The sequence below is a fragment of the Homo sapiens genome, chromosome 5, assembly GCF_000001405.40.
Source record: "Homo sapiens chromosome 5, GRCh38.p14 Primary Assembly".
Classification (NCBI taxonomy): domain Eukaryota; kingdom Metazoa; phylum Chordata; class Mammalia; order Primates; family Hominidae; genus Homo; species Homo sapiens.
Window position 1 is genome coordinate 122,908,487 of NC_000005.10, and position 20,131 is coordinate 122,928,617.

Here is a 20,131-nt window from a genome sequence, read left to right on the forward strand (position 1 = left end):
TGCAGATGTTTTAAAATAACTTAAGGGAAAAATTATTCTTGTAAACTGTAGCATAGTGACTATATAGACTGTATAAAATATAAAAAATAATTAGTTGCTGTTAGTTTTTGGCTAAGAACAATTAAGGCAGATGAAAATATTGTATTTCTACCCATTTTTTCCAACACCGACTGCCAGAACTATAATTAGTAAAGTTTGTCAGTGAAGAAAGAAATGTAGCCTTAAAGACATTTATTATAACAGTATTCATGCAATAGAATATTATGTAGCAGTAAAAGGAAGAAGAGGACTGTTTCTATGTCCTGATAGGGGAAGATCGTCAGGGTCCTCTGCTGAGTGAAAAAGCAAGAGGTGGAACGGAATGTCCTGTGCTGCCTCTTGTGTTGAAGGGAAGGACTTAAGACTGACTGTTCAAATGTGCACATAGCAAGGCTGAAAGGACCTTACGGTGAGCACTTGAGCGGGGAGTGAAGCGTGGGACTTGCTCTAAGAAAGGTTGTGATTGCGAGACTGACCTCACTGTGTATCTTTTTTTTTCTTTTTAAACCATATGACTGTATTACCTATTCAAAATACTGTTATAAAAAGACATGCACTTATTCCACATATGAATACTTGATGAGAAGTACAGCATTGTTACATTAACAAGGGACTCGCAGTCTCAGAGTACCCCAGTTAGACTCTTCATTACCAAAGCGAAAAAGGCATTCAGATATGTTAGAATGAGGGGTTTTGAAATCTCATTAAATGCTAGTTTAAATGAGTTTATTGTCATTGACTAAGATTCAGGGACACTTAGACATAGTACCTATTGCTTAATCTGTGCCAGGTACCGTACTCTGCTTTATAAATGTTAACTTAAGTCCTCACGGAGAAAGTGTTACTGTCTTTATTTAACAGGTGAAAAAACAGATGCTCAAAGAGTTTAAAACCTTACCGTAGGTCATGTAGCCAGTATGTGGGAAAGCTGGAATTTGAATCTAGGTTTTCCGTCTCCAAAGATAAGTCCAGGGTCTGAGTATCAGAGTGGAAAGAGCTGTAACTGACAGGCACAAGCACCCAAGCATGTGTATACCCGTGAGGACAGCTGCCTTAACCTGGCCTGCCGTGAAGAGTAGAGGGCAGTGTTAAATCCCTAGGGTGGTTCATCACTGCCAGGCTTACCTATTAAGATGACTTCTTGGCACTGTCTATGTTTCTTTGTAGCTCCCATTTAAGTCAGTCATGTGCTTACCATTGGCCAAACTGTCTATCCCTGAGGTTTCCATGGGGCAGAGACCGTGTCTCTTTTGCTGCCCACTCAGCCCCAGCTCAGAGTCTGATGCAGGGAAGGTACTTAATAAATACTTACCAAAGGAATGCGCCATTACTACAGGCAGATCTTGTAGTAATGACAAGATTACATTTCACTGGTGTGGTTATCTTTCACAAACTACCTAATGGAATAATTCTTTCTAGTGCATGCTTTTCACTAATGAGGAATGCAACTTTGAAGCCAGAGTAGATTGAGAGCTTGTAGGTTCAAGGCAGAAAGATATCAGTTTATTCTATAAATAGTGAACCATCACTTTATTATTAGGAGTAAAGTGGTAAAAGAAGAAGATTAGGAAGTTAAGACAATCACCAGAGATAAAGTTTACTTGGGGAAATGTAATTGAAAAAAATCCAATGGAACAAAGTTGCATTAGAACTTTAATCCTACCACTGTGGTGTTCAGGGTTTGTATGCTTTGCTGTGTGTCAGGACGTCTTGAGACCTCAGCTCTCCAAGGCTAATCCCTTGGTCTACAACCCAGGCTATTCTCTGTTCACAGCCACCCCCTTCTCTACTGCCTTTTGTTTTCATTTTTACTTTTGAAATTCTTTTCCTCTTCATTTCAGGACCAATGTTATTAGAATATAGGGAATAGTTCAAAATTAAGGTCATCCCTACTGCTCCTCCAAGGCCCAGCCTGAGGAAAGACAGACTTTTTTTTGTTTTGTTTTTTAATTATTATTATACTTTAAGTTTTAGGGTACATGTGCACAATGTGCAGGTTAGTTACATATGTATACATGTGCCATGCTGGTGTGCTGCACCCATTAACTCGTCATTTAGCATTAGGTATATCTCCTAATGCTATCCCTCCCCCCTCCCCCCACCCCACAACAGTCCCCAGAGTGTGATGTTCCCCTTCCTGTGTCCATGTGTTCTCATTGTTCAATTCCCATCTATGAGTGAGAACATGTGGTGTTTCGTTTTTTGTCCTTGCGATAGTTTACTGAGAATGATGATTTCCAATTTCATCCATGTCCCTACAAAGGACATGAACTCATCATTTTTTATGGCTGCTTAGTATTCCATGGTGTATATGTGCCACATTTTCTTAATCCAGTGTATCGTTGTTGGACATTTGGGTTGGTTCCAAGTCTTTGCTATTGTGAATAATGCCTCAATAAACATACGTGTGCATGTGTCTTTATAGCAGCATGATTTATAATCCTTTGGGTATATACCCAGTAATGGGATGGCTGGGTCAAATGGTATTTGTAGTTCTAGATCCCTGAGGAATCGCCACAGTGACTTCCACAATGGTTGAACTAGTTTACAGTCCCACCAACAGTGTAAAAGTGTTCCTATTTCTCCACATCCTCTCCAGCACTTGTTGTTTCCTGACTTTTTAATGATTGCCATTCTAACTGGAGTGAGATGGTATCTCATTGTGGTTTTGATTTGCATTTCTCTGATGGCCAGTGATGATGAGCATTTTTTCATGTGTCTTTTGGCTGCATAAATGTCTTCTTTTGAGATGTGTCTGTTCATATCCTTTGCCCACTTTTTGATGGGGTTGTTTGTTTTTTTCTTGTAAATTTGTTTGAGTTCATTGTAGATTCTGGATATTAGCCCTTCGTCAGATGAGTAGGTTGTGAAAATTTTCTTCCGTTTTGTAGGTTGCCTGTTCACTCTGATGGTAGTTTCTTTTGCTGTGCAGAAGCTCTTTAGTTTAATTAGATCCCATTTGTCAATTTTGGCTTTTGTTGCCATTGCTTTTGGTGTTTTAGACATGAAGTCTTTGCCCATGCCTATGTCCTGAATGGTAATGCCTAGGTTTTCTTCTAGGGTTTTTATGGTTTTAGGTCTAACGTTTAAGTCTTTAATCCATCTTGAATTAATTTTTGTATAAGGTGTAAGGAAGGGATCCAGTTTCAGCTTTCTACATATGGCTAGCCAGTTTTCCCAGCACCATTTATTAAATAGGGAATCCTTTCCCCATTGCTTGTTTTTCTCAGGTTTGTCAAAGATCAGATAGTTGTAGATAAGCGGCGTTATTTCTGAGGGCTCTGTTCTGTTCCATTGATCTATATCTCTGTTTTGGTACCAGTACCATGCTGTTTTGCTTACTGTAGCCTTGTAGTATAGTTTGAAGTCAGGTAGCGTGATGCTTCCAGCTTTGTTCTTTTGGCTTAGGATTGACTTGGCGATGCGGGCTCTTTTTTGGTTCCATATGAACTTTAAAGTAGTTTTTTCCAATTCTGTGAAGAAAGTCATTGGTAGCTTGATGGGGATGGCATTGAATCTGTAAATTACCTTGGGCAGTATGGCCATTTTCACGATATTGATTCTTCCTACCCATGAGCATGGAATGTTCTTCCATTTGTTTGTATCCTCTTTTATTTCCTTGAGCAGTGGTTTGTAGTTCTCCTTGAAGAGGTCCTTCACGTCCCTTGTAAGTTGGATTCCTAGGTATTTTATTCTCTTTGAAGCAATTGTGAATGGGAGTTCACTCACGATTTGGCTCTCTGTTTGTCTGTTATTGGTGTATAAGAATGCTTGTGATTTTTGTACATTGATTTTGTATCCTGAGACTTTGCTGAAGTTGCTTATGAGCTTAAGGAGATTTTGGGCTGAGACAATGGGGTTTTCTAGATATACAATCATGTCATCTGCAAACCGGGACAATTTGACTTCCTCTTTTCCTAATTGAATACCCTTTATTTCCTTCTCCTGCCTCATTGCCCTGGCCAGAACTTCCAACACTATGTTGAATAGGAGTGGTGAGAGAGGGCATCCTGTCTTGTGCCAGTTTTGAAAGGGAATGCTTCCAGTTTTGCCCATTCAGTATGATATTGGCTGTGGGTTTGTCATAGATAGCTCTTATTATTTTGAGATACGTCCCATCAATACCTAATTTATTGAGAGGTTTTAGCATGAAGCGTTGTTGAATTTTGTCAAAGGCCTTTTCTGCATCTATTGAGATAATCATGTGGGTTTTTTTTTTTTTTTTTAATTGATCATTCTTGGGTGTTTCTAGCAGAGGGGGATTTGGCAGGGTCTAGGACAGTAGTGGAGGGAAGGTCAGCAGATAAACAAGTGAACAAAGGTCTCTGGTTTTCCTAGGCAGAGGACCCTGTGGCCCTGGGTACTTGAGATTAGGGAGTGGTGATGACTCTTAAGGAGCATGCTGCCTTCAAGCATCTGTTTAACAAAGCACATCTTGCACCGCCCTTAATCCATTTAACCCTGAGTGGACACAGCACATGTTTCAGAGAGCACAGGGTTGGGGGTAAGGTCATAGATCAACAGGATCCCAAGGCAGAAGAATTTTTCTTAGTACAGAACAAAATGAAAAGTCTCCCATATCTACGTCTTTCTACACAGACACAGCAACCATCCGATTTCTCAATCTTTTCCCCACCTTTCCCCCTTTTCTATTCCACAAAACCGCCATTGTCATCATGGCCGGTTCTCAATGAGCTGTTGGGTACACCTCCCAGATGGGGTGGTGGCCGGGCAGAGGGGCTCCTCACTTCCCAGTAGGGGCGGCCGGGCAGAGGCGCCCCCCACCTCCCTCCCAGACGGGGCGGCTGGCCGGGCGGGGGCTGACCCCCCACCTCCCTCCCGGACGGGGCGGCTGGCTGGGCGGGTGGCTGACCCCCCACCTCCCTCCCGGACGGGGCGGCTGGCCGGGCGGGGGGCTGACCCCCACCTCCCTTCCGGACGGGGTGGCTGCCTGGCGTAGACGCTCCTCACTTCCCAGACGTGGTGGCTGCCTGGCGGAGGGGCTCCTCACTTCTCAGACAGGGCGGCTGCTGGGCGGAGGGGCTCCTCACTTCTCAGATGGGGCGGCTGCCGGGCGGAGGGTCTCCTCACTTCTCAGACGGGGCGGCTGCCAGGCAGAGGGTCTCCTTACTTCTCAGACGGGGCAGCCGGGCAGAGACTCTCCTCACTTCCTAGATGGGATGGCGGCCGGGCAGAGGCTGCAATCTCGGCACTTTGGGAGGCCAAGGCAGGCGGCTGGGAGGTGGAGGTTGTAGCGAGCCAAGATCACACCACTGCACTCCAACCTGGGCACCATTGAGCACTGAGTGAACGAGACTCCGTCTGCAATCCTGGCACCTTGGGAGGCCGAGGCTGGCGGATCACTCGCGGTTAGGAGCTGGAGACCACCCCGGCCAACACAGGGAAACCCCGTCTCCACCAAAAAATTACTAAAACCAGTCAGGCGTGGCGGCGCGCACCTGCAATCGCAGGCACTCGGCAGGCTGAGGCAGGAGAATCAGGCAGGGAGGTTGCAGTGAGCCGAGATGGCAGCAGTACAGTCCAGCTTTGGCTTGGCATCAGAGGGAGACCATGGAAAGAGAGGAAGAGGGAGACCGTGGGGAGAGGGAGAGGGAGAGGGAGAGGGTCATGTGGTTTTTGTCTTTGGTTCTGTTTATATGCTGGATATACATTTATTGATTTGCATATATTGAACCAGCCTTGCATCCCAGGGATGAAGCCCACTTGATCATGATGGATAAGCTTTTTGATGTGTTGCTGGATTCGGTTTGCCAGTATTTTATTGAGGATTTTTGCATCAATGTTCATCAAGGATATTGGTCTACAATTCTCTTTTCTTGTTGTGTCTCTGTCAGGCTTTGGTATCAGGATGATGCTGGCCTCATAAAATGAGTTAGGGAGGATTCCCTCTTTTTCTATTGATTGGAATAGTTTCAGAAGGAATGGTACCAGTTCCTCCTTGTACCTCTGGTAGAATTCGGCTGTGAATCCATCTGGTCCTGGACTCTTTTTGGTTGGTAAGCTATTGATTATTGCCACAATTTCAGATCCTGTTATTGGTCTATTCAGAGATTCAACTTCTTCCTGGTTTAGTCTTGGGAGAGTGTATGTGTCGAGGAATTTATCCATTTCTTCTAGATTTTCTAGTTTATTTGCGTAGAGGTGTTTGTAGTATTCTCTGATGGTAGTTTGTATTTCTGTGGGATCGGTGGTGATATCCCCTTTATCATTTTTTATTGCATCTATTTGATTCTTCTCTCTATTTTTCTTTATTAGTCTTGCTAGCGGTCTATCAATTTTGTTGATCCTTTTTCAAAAAACCAGCTAAGACAGGCTTTGATGAGTGAGTTGAGAGAGGGAATTTAGGTATGGATGTGGCTCTTTTAAAAATGAAGGCTATGGGTTGGATGATGCCTGACCACTTTTCCTTAGGTCCAGTTGAGGTGGAGGTGGGAGGAAGTGCTACTAACAGATGCACGTTGAGTGTCCGTGATCCAAAATGTCTGGGACCAGAAATGTTTCAGATTTCAGGGTTTTTTTAGACTTTGGAATATTTGCATTATACTTAGTGGCTGAGTGCCCCAAATCTGAAAAATCTGAAATCTGAAATGGTCTCAACTTACTGCCAAGTGCTGTTGACTCTACCACCTAATCATCTTTTAAAATTTGCCCACTTTCATCTCCATCTCCATCATCACTCTCCCTCCCATTGCCCTGTCATCTCACCCTGGTCTGCTGTAGTAACTTCCTACTCCATCTTCCCTATTCACCCTGAGCTCTCTAGAATCCATCATTTTGCAATCAGAAAGATTTTTCATGGCCAGGTGCTGTGGTTCATTCCTGTAAGCCCAGCAACTTGGGAGGCTGAGACAGGGTGATTGCTTGAGCCCAGGAGTTTGAGACCAGCCTGGGCAACATAGCAAGTCCCCATCTCTACAAAAGAGCAAATAAATTAGCCAGGCCTGGTGGTGTCACCTGTAATCCCAGCTACTCAGTAGGCTGAGGTGGGAGGATTGCTTGAGCTCAGGAGTTGGAGGCTGCAGTGAGCTATGATTACGTCACCATACTCTAGCCCGGGTAACAAAGCAAGACCCTGTCTGTTTAAAAAAAAAATTTTTTTTTCATAGTGCACATCTGATCATATCAGCTCCCACTTAAAAATCATTGAGTGGCTTCTCCTTTCTTGTAAGGTAAAAGCTGGTCTTTAGTGTGGCCTGTGAGGCCCTCAGTGTGGTCTGCCCTCTGCCTACCTTAGCTGCTCCAGAGCCCTCCTGTGCCTTGAGCTCCAGTCCCACAGTCTCAGTTCCTCAGGTAATCTGTTTCTTTTGTTAAACTGACCTTTCCTCTTTGTTTTGTCCTCATATCCACCGTCAACTCCCCCCAGGCTTCAGGCCTGTTTCGTCATGGCCTCCTCAGAGATTTAGCCCTGGCTGGGCTCTCCTGTTTCATGCCCTCTCAGTAGTTTATCTTCCCCTCATAGCATGGCGAAGATGATTCATTGTGTCCTTAGTTCACTGTATTCCCATCCTGTAGCACATGTTTACACATAAAAGTGATCAATAATTTTTCACTGAATAAATAAAGTAACGTGAGCTAGAAGTGAGAGTAAATGATCTATCCAAGATAGCATGGCCACTTAATATCAGAATTAAGACAAAACACACAGACTTTCCACTGTATCTGGTTTTTGTTTCATTATTAGTAGTCTGAGTCTGCATAGGAGACTTCTTCATTCTGATTGCATGAGGAAAATGTGCTTTTGACTCTGTTTCCAGGGAGACCTGGATCTCTGCTTTTTGTTTCCAGCCCTTCTGTGGAGTTGGTTCCTTCTGGTACATTTCCTTGGCCCCCTCTTAAGGTTTATCCTGGGGGGCCTGCTTTGTTCTGTTGGCATCATAAAGCTAGAAGTTGAACGTTTCTCACTTTTCTTAATTCTTTAAAGTGACTATTTTGGATTTCGTGTTTATAATATTTTGTGCTTTTTTTATCTTAGATGCTTTTATTCTGAGCCTTGATCCTGATGCTTCCTTACCAAATACTTTAAGCTTGAACAGTCCATTTGGGACCTTTATTTTTAACATTCTGCATCCCAAATTCTGTGTTTGTTACTTCCATACCTGATGACACCCCTGCCCTTACTGACTCACTTTAAAGGAAGAGGCTGTTTACTTAACAGTGGTGTGTTGTCTGTTTTCCCAAAATACAATCTCTGACCAGAGACTAGGTTGAATGATAATCTTTCTTTACATAAGCTGCTTGGAAACTGTCAATTCAGCCTTATCGGGGGGTGTGATTTGGGATGTGGGCTCTTTATGCTTGCATGGCATACTCTGTCATGGTCTTCTTTCTGAGCTCTAGACTGTTCAGAAAACTTCCTAGCTGGCTTTAATTCTGTTATTGAGATCTAGAAAACCTCACTACATTCCTTCTACTCATTTGTGCTGAAAATACTTAAAGACTGGGCTGGGCGCGGTGGCTCACGCCTGTAATCCCAACACTTTGAGAGGCTGAGGGGGACGGATCACGAGGTCAAGAGATAGAGACCATCCTGGCCAACATGGTGAAACTCCGTCTCTACTAAAAATACAAAAATTAGCCGGGTGTGTTGGCGTGCACCTGTAGTCGAGAGGCTGAGGCAGGAGAACAGCTTGAACCCGGGAGGTGGAGGTTGCAGTGAGCCGAGATTGTGCCACTGCACTCCAGCCTGATGACAGAGTGAGACTTCATCTCAAAAAAAAAAAAAAAGAAAGAAAAAAAAGACTGCTCCTCAACATCTCTCCTTGCTTCTGAAATGCCAAAGGGGAAGACCTCTGGCCCTGCTCTGGTTTCTCCATGGAAAATACTCTATCTCATTTGACAATGAACTTCTTAAAATGTGGCATCCAAAAATGATTCAGTGTGGACCTAGTATACAGGTTTTTCACTTCTTTATGGAACCAAAGGAATAAGCATGTTGTTTGCTTGCCTGGTTCTGTTCCTCGCTTCTCTCCTTCTTCAGATTCAGTTTTCAAACATTCAGGACGGAGGATCTGAAGAAAGCCACTGTGGTTTGGTTTTAAGTTTGCAGCTATATCTTCAAACCACGGTGGTGGTGATGTGCGTCATAAAATTTTAGGCCTTTGTGTAAGGACCCTGCCCAAAATCTGTTAGCACAGAAATCATAAAACTGCATTCTTCACCTGTCAACTAAGTAAATGTAAGATAGAATTATAAGTGGGTGCCCTAGCTTCATGGTGTTCAAGGTAAATAGTAGGCACTATTTAAAATAATGCCGGCCGGGTGCGGTGGCTTACACCTGTAATCCCAGCATTTTGGGAGGCCGAGGTGGGCGGATCACGAGGTCAGGAGATCTAGACCATCCTGGCTAACACGGTGAAACCCCGTCTCTACTAAAAATACAAAAAATTAGCCGGGCATGGTGGTGGGCGCCTGTAGTCCCATCTACTCAGGAGGCTGAGGCAGGAGAATGGCGTGAACCTGAGAGGCAGAGCTTGCAGTGAGCTGAGATCGTGCCACTGCACTCCAGCCTGGGCGACAGAGCGAGACTCCATCTCAAAAATAATAATAAACAAATAAATAAATAAATAAAATAATGCCAACAGGCTGGGCCTGGTGGCTCCCACCTGTAATCCTAGAAATTTGGGAGGCCCAAGTGGGCAGATCACCTGAGGTCAGGAGTCATATTGGGGTTAGAGCTTCAGCATACGAATTGGGAGGTGGTGGTGGTGGGGTGCACAGTTCAGTTTATAACAGGGCAGTGGACACCATACACAGAGTTTGTTCTTTGCCCAAGACCATTGTTAAGTGACCATATAATGAATACTCTCCTATTTGCCTGTAGTTTGAAGGCCAAATTATATAATTTGGATGACTACCAAGGGAGTTGCGTCCCCCATTTACATGTACAGCTCTTCCTTAGGACTTTTGGAAAGATAATTTGCTTTATAACATTGGGTAGCACTTTTATGTGTTGCTTCATAAGTAATCATATTTACTTGTCTTCTTTGCTAAGTTTTAAGCCTGTTGAAGCCTGTTGAAGCTGTGGATTAGAATTTGTAAAATATCTTACTCTGTCCTGTGTCTAGTACACAGCCTAGCATAGATTAGGAATTTAATAAATAATGTATAGACTTTTAGAGCTCAAAGAGTATGTGGTGATGATCTAATTTAACATTCTCATATTTATTGATGGAAAGAACAAAAAAAGAGATGCAGAGAAGTTAGATGGTTTACCAAAGTCACAGAATCCTAAGAAAGAACAGAATGTGGCCTTTATGAAATGTAGTTTTCTACTCTTTCAACATACTGCACTGCCTTTGAATAAAGTTTAAGTGAGGGCTAAAACGTGATTTAAGAGGGGGATTCCTTACATACTGTCTTAAATATGTCTCCCCATATACAAATTTAAGTGTGTATATATATAATCTGTATGAAAATTTATTTTATGCTCTTAGTGCAATTACAACTTTTTGTCGCTTATTAAGACTTCAGAGATACAAACCAGTAGCTCAGTAATTGCTTTCTTGAATCTGCCTTTAATAATTACATTTAGTAAAGCTGTATCGAAAATTAGAAAGGCAGAGACTAATGGAAAACTAGATTTTTCACTGAATTAGAAAGCAAGACAATCCATATATTGACAACACTTCAAGTTGAAACAGATCAGGAAAACTGTTTTGGACTGTTTGTGCAAAGAGGCAAACCTGGGCCTGATGGGCAGTGGCTTCCGCATTTTATGGAAGCAGAGAAACTCTAAGAGATTGCATGTAAATCGGCATATTGGGAAGAGAGAGTCCAGGTCTGATTTAGATACAAGTCATTTGAATCTTTTAAAGCCTGGAATTTCTCCATGGTACTAGCAAAGAAGTAGAATATAAAGAATTGTGTTAATGAAGTGGGAATATCTTTGAATTTAAAAAAAGTACAAAACTCATTTAGGGTCATATCTTGCAGTCAAAAAGAAACGTGTGCAGGAAGATTATAGTAGCTTCTGTAGTAGTTGATGTGGTGTTTTGACTTCATGGTCAGAAAAATTAGTCATTTTAGTTTTTTTTTTTTGCGTTTCAGAAAGCATATTAAAAATATCCCAATGGTGGATTAACTCAGGATTTTTTACATGTTAGGAAAATAATTAAAACTAAAATATAATGATATTAATTGAAATAAGCAACACTGATGCCTCTTATTCACCTGTCAGAGAGACAGTGTGTTTTTGCACAGTAAGCCAGGAGACAGGCCAGGTAGCCTGCTGATACACTAGCTCCCCTCCCAAACCAGGTGCTGGCTACACGGTTCACATGCATCAGGGCCCAACAAACTCTTCCCATACTGTGGAGGCACAGGGTTATAACAACTTTAGAAAAATGCCTTTAAAAGGGCCCAATTTATTTGTCACATTATCATGGATAGCTGAATTGTTCTAATAGTGGCCTGTTGAGCAACTTCATCCTTTCCTGAGAATGAGGGCAGGTGTTTGTTTACAACGTTTAGAGGTGGGATAGTTTATGTGTCTCTCCAAGGCAAGAGGAAACATCTAGAAAGTAGAAAATTCAGGTAGATTGTCATGTACAGGCTTGATTGCCTTCTTTTTCAGGTCAAGGGAGAGAGAGGTGTGAAAAGTTTGGAAAAGCCAGTTGGATGAGAAGGCATGTGAAATGAGCAGAGGGCATGTGGTGAAGCCTTTTTGAGAACTGTTGTCTGGCCAGATTAACTTGGAATTTAAATTTGTTAGAGCTCTCTGATTTCACCATCAGAAATTACACAAAGGATAGAGAAGTAAGGTAGCATAAGTAAGGTAGAGGATAGGGTTTTCCTGCCTTGAGAAGTGAATTTGCTGTTTGGTAAGAGAGATACAGACTAAGACAACTAACTGAACAGAATCTGATCCTGAAAATAATTATTTTGAATGGTACAGTAAGCATGCATGGTTCGATATGAATGAGTTAGCATTTGTTTATCCTGCACAGTATATAAAGTGTGGCACACAGTATGTGTATATGGCACCATCTCTATCTTACAGTGGAGTTGCAGAGCAATATACATGACAAAGCAATACACAGTTGTTATACGCAAGTAGAATGCTAAGACTCTAGAAAACAATCTGGTCAACCCCATCAAATCCCCAGATGTTATAGATGATGCACAGCCATAGAGCTGAAAAGTGATTTTCCTATCTGTGTGGCTAATAAGTGTCAAAGAGGGATCTGGAACTCAGGTTTGTGCTTCACAGATATTTTTTCTCATTATAGAATGTTTTCACTCAAAAATTTAAAAAATGAGATATACATGTTCAATGCAGAAAAACTGAGGGGAAAACATGAAATGTGCAAATAGGAAAAATTGTGCATAATCCCTCTTAAACATTAACTTTTTTTCTTTTTAGTAGAGACAGTATCTCACTATGCTGCACAGGCTAGTCTCAAACTCCTAACGTCAAGTGATTTTCCTGCCTCAGCCTCCCAAAGTGCTAGGATTACAGGCATGAGCCACCATGCCCAGCCAATATTGGCATTTTTTTCTCTCAGCATTTTTGGTAAAGAATATATATATATACATATACGCACACATACATCACTATTATGCACATGTATTTACTAAATAAAACAAAAATGGACTCTGTAGCCTGCTTTTTTTTTTTAACTTTAACAAAAGCATATCTTTCCTACTCTCCGCTGTGTTTCAATTGGATGTACTATTTATCCCTGAGGTCCCAGCAGCTTGCCTCTCTGAAATTTTCTTATGTGTCCATATTTGACACTGAGAATTTTAGTTTGTAAAAGGATAGCTTTGGCAAAGCCACGGTGAGGGATAGAGGGGTTGGTCACCTAGAGAGCAAATATTTGGAAAATAAAGGCACTAATCGTGGTTGGAGGTGTTAGTTCCTTATCTTGTGAACCATTTTTAGAAGCCCAGAAAAGGTCTTATTCAAAAAGTTTCTTTTAAGTCTATGTGTCCTGACTTGTGGAAAAATGCTTGGCAGAAGATCCACAGCTGTACTGTCTCTGTAAAGAAACACTATGGAGAGAAAGAAAAAAAATTCACATCCAGGTGATGTAGGGGATTTAGTTTTGAAAGTCTAATACATGAAACCTAGATGTAAGGCTTGAAAAAAAGATTTATTCTTCCTACATTGGTAGCAATGTAAGAGTTTTCAGATGTTGGATGCTTTAGATTTAGTTCCGGCTCTTGAGAATGGCATGAATTAGAGCTTTGCGTTTTCAGTTTTTCTATAGAGACCACATATGTTATATTACTAAGGGAAAGCAACCCATGGTAACAAAAAAAAAAGCTTGCAAAATGATTGTATTTTTGCAAGTCAACACCTTTTCTCGAATCCATTGTTCTTTCTTTAAAGCAGTCAAACAAATTACGTGATTATGGTATATCATGTAACTAGCAGAATCTCTTTGTTTGGGGTAAAAGAAATCAATACAAGAAGCTCTTGGAATGTCCTTTTTCTCTCTCTCTCTTTAGCGGCTCCTTATGTATGGTTTTAGAAATGCTGATTCTACATTAAGAATGACAGTGATTCATGCTGAGGCCCGACCTTGTTAGATTCCTAACTGCTCTCTGAAAATCTTTGACACTGATGTTGGTTATATGTATCTAGAAGAGGTAGTAGTTGGTTTAATACAGAAATATAGTTGTAAATTTTTCATCAGATAACTTTAGTATTTAAAGCTTAGTATTTAAAGTATCAGGCAGGTTTTTTTGTTTTTGTGGGGTTTTTGTTTGTTTGTTTTTTTGAGACAGGGTCTCACTCTGTCACCCAGGCTGGAGTGCAATGGTGCAATCTCAGCTCACTGCAACTTCTGCCCCCCAGATTCAAGCAATTCTCCTGCCTCAGCCTCCTGAGTAGCTGGGATTACAGGCACGTGCCATCATGCCCGGCTAATTTTTGTATTTTTAGTATAGACGGGGTTTCACCATGTTGGCCACGCTGGTCTCGAACTCCTGACATCAGGTGATCCACCCACCTCAGCCTCCCAAAGTGCTGGGATTACAGGTGTGAGCCACCTCGCCTGGCATTGGTCTTTTTTTTTTTAAGTAGGTTAACTTAAATTTAAAATAGCAATAAAGGCTATTCCTGGGTTCCGTGGTATAACTTCATATTCTGCAGTTGCCATCCTCTCAATGCTGCCTTCTCTGAGCAGTTTATTGAAAATTACAATTTTTCCCCCAGTGGTCCTACTTTCTTTTACTCGGCTTTATTCTCCCCCTTCCCCATGCCAGGTAATCGCTTTCTAAAACCTACTTGTGAGTTTAGTTTTTATATTCATTATTTGTTTTCTGTCTCCCCTGCTGGAATGTAATTTCATGAGGACAGAACTCTTTGTCATTTTACTTCAGTGATAGACTTCAGACACCTTGAATAGGGTCTAGCACATGGTATGTGCTCAAAAATACTTGGATAAAGGAGTAATCACATTTTTACAGTGCAACTATTTTTAAACCATGCATATCCTGGGAAAGTAAAATACCTGATCTATCTATCTATCTTTATTTTTTTAGAAGAAGAATTAAGCCAGGCATCATAGCTCAGTACCTGTAATCCCAGCATTTTCGGAGGCTAAGGCAAGCAGATCGCTTGAAGCCAAGAGTTCTAGACCAGCCTGGGCAACAAATCAAGACCTCATCTCTACCAAAATATAAAAACTAAAAATATTAGCCAGGCATGGTGGCATGTGCCTGTAGTCCCAGCTAATTGGGAAGCTGAGGTGGGAGTATAGCTTGAGCCCAGGAGCTCAAGGCTGCCATGAGGTATGATTACACCACTGCACTGCAGCCTGGGTGACAGAGTGAGACCCCATCTCTAAAAAAAAAAATTAAAATTAAAAAAAAAAAGAAGAATTAAAATTCTGAGTTTTGAAAGAAGGCTGAGTATTCTGTGATCTTTAGGAGCTTACTTTCCTCTTGTAAGTGGGGATTTTAAAACTGAATTGATGCTCTCTGACATCTGTTCATAGAACAGAAAAAGTTTCATTCTTAAACAGGAACAAGGCCTTTGTCTATGAGGAGGGTCTTTAATTGTAGTAGACTTTACGAAATGGCCTGCGTTCTTTCACGGACACAGAGGTTGTCCCTCTCCACTTCTTGTTTTCCCATCTTTCAGAGCCCAGCTGCAGAGCTTTGAAGCTGGCAGATGCTGTTCCCAAGCAACCTTCCCTTCCTGGGGTCCAAAAAGGACCATAATTTCAGCCTTGAAAGAACACAGGTGAATCTTGGATCTCATCTTCCTGATGCTCATAGAAAGGAGCCTGACTCATTAGGAATGAAACAAGAAAATTCGCATCCACCCGAGCTTACGCTTTACCCTTCTTTTGGTTAAAAAAATAATGATTCATCCATTCATCCATCATATGTGTGTGAGAGAGACAGAAAACACTTTTAAAGTTTTTTGATCTTTTGAATTACATAGGTTTTTAATGAGAATGTGGTATTTTTAGAAATAAGCATAGCATATCATAGTACTTCATGGTGTGTTGAAGAAATGATGGCTATTAATTGCTTTGGATTCCATTTTGATTTCTGAGAAAGCAAATAATACAGTAGTCCCCCCTTATCCTCAGGTGTTATGTTCAAAGACCCCCAGTGGATGGCTGAAACTATGGGTAGTACTAAACCTTATATGTGCTATGTTTTTTCCTATATACAGACACCTGTGATGAAGTTTAATTTATAAGTTAGGCACAATAAGAGATTAACAAGAATAACTATTACAATAATAATAAAATAAAAAATTATAGCAATACACCAACATCACTTCTCCTGTGACTTGGACCATTATTAAGTCAAATAAGAATTCCTTGAACACAAGCACTGCAATACTGCAACAGTCGATCTGATAACTGAGCTCCTACAGCTAGTTAAGTGACTAATGGGTGGGGGTGCAGACATCGTAAAGCTGCCAGAAAAAGGGAGGGCTCGTGTGCTGGCTGGGACCGGGCAAGACACCGTGGGACAGTGTAAGATTTCACCACTCTACTCAGTACAGTGTGCAATTTAAAACCTACAAATTGTTTATTTCTGGAATTTTTCATTTCATATTTTCAGACCATACTTGACCATGAATAACTGAGATCACAGCTAAGGGGGGACTACTATATTCAGGAGGATAACAGAATGCATTGAGCACCAGTTATGTGCCAGGCTAGGTGCTAAGGGTTTTATATACCTTGTCGTATTTATTTACTCCATCACCAGACCTAAGAAAGTAGGCGTTATCATCTCTGTTTTACGTATGAGGAAACTAAGGCTCAGAGTTGATAAGCAACATCTGTAAGGAAATACAGCCAGGAAGTAGCAGATCTGGGTGTTGGATGTGTCTAAGTCCAGACTGGTGCTCTTTCTACCATATCATGTAGCTTCTCAGAATAGCACTAATTATTAAGACGGGTAGTTTCTTATTGATTAAAGGCCTGGCCTTCCCTCCCCACTCTTCCCTTTCCCTTCCCTCACCCTTCTCCCCTCTTTCCCCTTCGTCTTCCCCTCCCCTTCTCCTTCTCTCCCCACATTCTCTACCCATCCTCCTCCCTCCCCTCTCCCTTTTCCCTCCTCTTCCCTCTCCTCCTTCCCTCTCTCTTCCCTTCCCCTTTCCTCCCCCTTCTCCATTCTTACCCCTGCCCCTCCCATCCCCTCCCATCCCCCTCCCATCCCCTCCCATCCTTCTTCCCCCTTCCTATTTCCTTCCCCTCCCCCTTCCCTCCCTCTTCTTTTTCTCCTCCTCCTCCTTCCTTCCCCTCCCCCTTCTCCTTTCCTTCTGAGTGAACTGGCATGATCATGGCTTACTGCAGTCTCAACCCCCTGGGCTCAAGTGATGAACCCCCTGGGCTCTAGCTCCCTGGGCTCACTCAACCTCCAAAGTAGCTGGATCTCAGGCACGTGCCACCATACCCAGCTAATTTTTAAAAATTATTATTTGTAGAAATGAGATCTCCCTATATTGCCCAGCTGGTCTTGAACTCCTGGGCTCAAGTGATCCTCCTGCTTTGGCCTCCCAAACTGCTGGGATTAGAGATGTGAGCCACTGTGTCAGGCCTTGGTCTTTATTTTCATAGCTTTTGGGCCCTCATGAACAGTCTTCTTTGACTATTTACAACTTCCTTTCTATAAGAAACCCTATCTTATATTGCACAGTCTGCCTCTATTATGTCTAACTTATTGGTTGTTCTAACAAAAATAACTCATTTTACCTTTCCACTATTAGATTACTGAGCTGGACTGAAGTTTATACATATTCTTCCCAATTTGTTGTCCAGCTGTCAATTACCTGCTCACCTTTTCTTCTGCTCCTTCCTTATTTTTCATGGATTCAACCTGCTGTGTTGCAAGGTAATGTTTAAGGCAGTGAGGATGTTAACAGTGAACAAAACCGATGAAGTTCCTATCATTATGGAGCTTATAATTTGTTAGACAAACAGACAATAAACCAACCAACCAACAAGCAAACATTGTATGTGTGTGGTGTGTGTATGTGAGTGTGTATGTTTGTGTGTGTGTGTGTGCATGCACACACCAGACCATGGTAAATGCACAGAAGAAAAGTAAAGCCAGGTCTGGGGATAGAGAATTATGGGAGCTAGTTGCTGTTTTAGATGGGGTGGGTAGATAACACCTCTCTGAAAACATGACCTGGAACAACAACTGAACAGAATGAGGGAGAAGCTTTCTAGGTAGAGGGAGAAGCACTCAAAAGCCTGTTATAGGTGGCAGTGAGGGAACGTGCCTATTATAGTTGCCGGTGAGGAAGCTGGTGTGGCTGGACCAGGGTGAGTGAGAGGGAGTAGGAAGTGAGGAAGGATCTGTTAGAGGATTGAAAAGGGCCACTTTGGCTGCTGTGAAATATAGATTGCTGCAGGGCAGGAGTGAAGCAGGGAGACCAGCAGGGAGGTTGTAGAGTGAGAACTGAGGCCTGGGTGAAGACACAGAGGGAAGACACTTCAGATTTACACATGACACAAAGCTTGGCAAAAACACTGGCTCATGTTTTGGAAGACAGAATCAATTTCCAGAAAAGTTTCAACAGCCTTGTCTAGTATTAGAGTCAAAATTAACATGATAATATTTAACAGGTCATTATAAAGCCTAACCTCAGATCTGAAAATTGCCTGTTTAAGAACTGTTGGGGAAGACTTGGGGGTTTTGTTTGATTCCAAAGGCATCATTAGCCAACAGTGAGATATGGTTTCCAAAACATTTAGGTGAATGCAGATTGCAGATACAGAAGCTTAAGCTAGAATCATGGGAGGTCAGGGTTCCACTGGACCGTGTGCTCATCAGGCCTCATCAGGAATCCAGGCCTATGAATGGGCATCGGCAGAGGTGAGTGCAGCAGCCCACTGCATGCATGCATTACAGGGTCAACCACCTCTAGTGATGGAGAGAGAAGTACCTTCTCTCCTGTAGAGATGTATGAATGTGGTCATTGTTACTCTCGTGATCATTTTCCCTACCTATCAACAGCTTCCCCTCCACTGATAAAGGAATAGTTGTAGCAATGGTTAGAAGTTAATAATATGAATAGGTAGCATTGTTTGGATTCTTGCTAAATGCCAGATAGTGTTTTAATGATTTGCATGGATAATTACGTTTAATCCTTGCAACAAACCTATGTGATAGGTGCCATTATAAACTCCATGTTATAGGTGAGGAAACTGAGGCTTGTACAGGTTAAACAACTTGCTCCAAATCATAGAGTATTAGCAGAGCCCAGAAGAGAGCAATGGAAGACATAAGATTCAAATCCAAGGAGTTTGATTCAAGAACTAGAACTCCTAACCGCTGCGTTATACTGCAAATCTTATGGGTTAAATTAATGATATCAATATTGTAATTTGTGCATATTTGGGACTAAATAGGTTTTTTGTAGGCTATTTATCTTTTATACTGTTTCTGTGGGAAAATTTGTGCTGAGTTTTAAACCATCTGAAAAGGGGATTTTGGGGACACAATTCATTTATTAATTGGGGAATGCCAGTATTTCCTTGAATCCTGGATTCAACATCTTAGGGAGAACATTGACAGACTGTGTTTTATTCTAGAAGGTATAGTGTAAGACCTGAAAACCATGTCATCTGAAAGACAGGTATAGGAGTTAGAAAAGTTTAATTTGGAAGAGAAAGGCATTTAAAGTGAAGCAAAATCTTCTTGTTGCTGAAATGATAAAACCATACACCCTGATATGATCTAAAGGCCCCTATTTGACTTCTGTTTCTAGGTGATCAGATCTAGTCTTCATTCACACTCTAATAATGCCCAAATTTATATCTCTAGTTAAGACCAGAGTTGTCAACTCAGTCCTCTGAAGCATCTCCACGTCATGTCTAATGTGCATCTCAAACTTAGTGTGGCTAGTGCTGAGCTCTTAACTTGCCACCACAGACTAGTTGATGCAGATGTCCGCAGCCAGTTGATGGTGGCATCACCATCCTTCCAGTTGCTCAGACCAAAAACCTCACCATTGCATTTCATTCTCTCACTTTCTCCCTTTTATTTTTATGTACTTTTACATAACATTTTTATGTATTTTTACATTTTTCCACATGCAGTCATCAGCTTATCCTGTTGGTTCTACTTTCACTCACCTCTTCCCACTGCCACTCAGACCTTCCCTCTAACTGTTCTCTCTCTGGATAACTCTTGGCACACAATGGTAATGCTGAAAGTTAAATTAGATTCTGTGACTATTCACTCTTCCATCTGCCTGGACCAACCTCCTCCCATCCCAGGTAGACTCAGGACTCACTCCCTCCTGTCATTCAGGTCTGTAGTGAATGAAATAATGGATCTTCAACAATGTCCACACCATAATCCCCAGAACCTCTGAATATGTTACCTTACATGCAGAAGGGACTTGGTAAAAGAGTTTAAAGTTAAGGACCTTGAGATAAGGGAGATTTTCCTGGCTTATCTGGGTGGGCCAAGTGGAATCATATGAGTCCTTATAAGTGGAAGGGGAAAGCAGAAGAGTAGGTTAGAGAAATATGACAAGGGAGGGGCGTGAGCTACTGTTGCAGGCCTTGAAGATGGAGAAAGCGGCTCATGATTCCAGGAATGTAGGTGGCTGCTAGGAGCTGGAAACAGCTAGCAAAAA

The 20,131-nt window shown here is 41.9% G+C and overlaps 1 protein-coding gene across 10 annotated transcripts in view; it reads left to right on the forward strand.

Moving 5' to 3' along the window:
• The window catches only part of SNX24 (sorting nexin 24), a 183,706-nt gene that overhangs the window by 62,874 nt on the left and 100,701 nt on the right, over positions 1 to 20,131 (forward strand). The gene's annotated exons all lie outside the window — the stretch shown is intronic.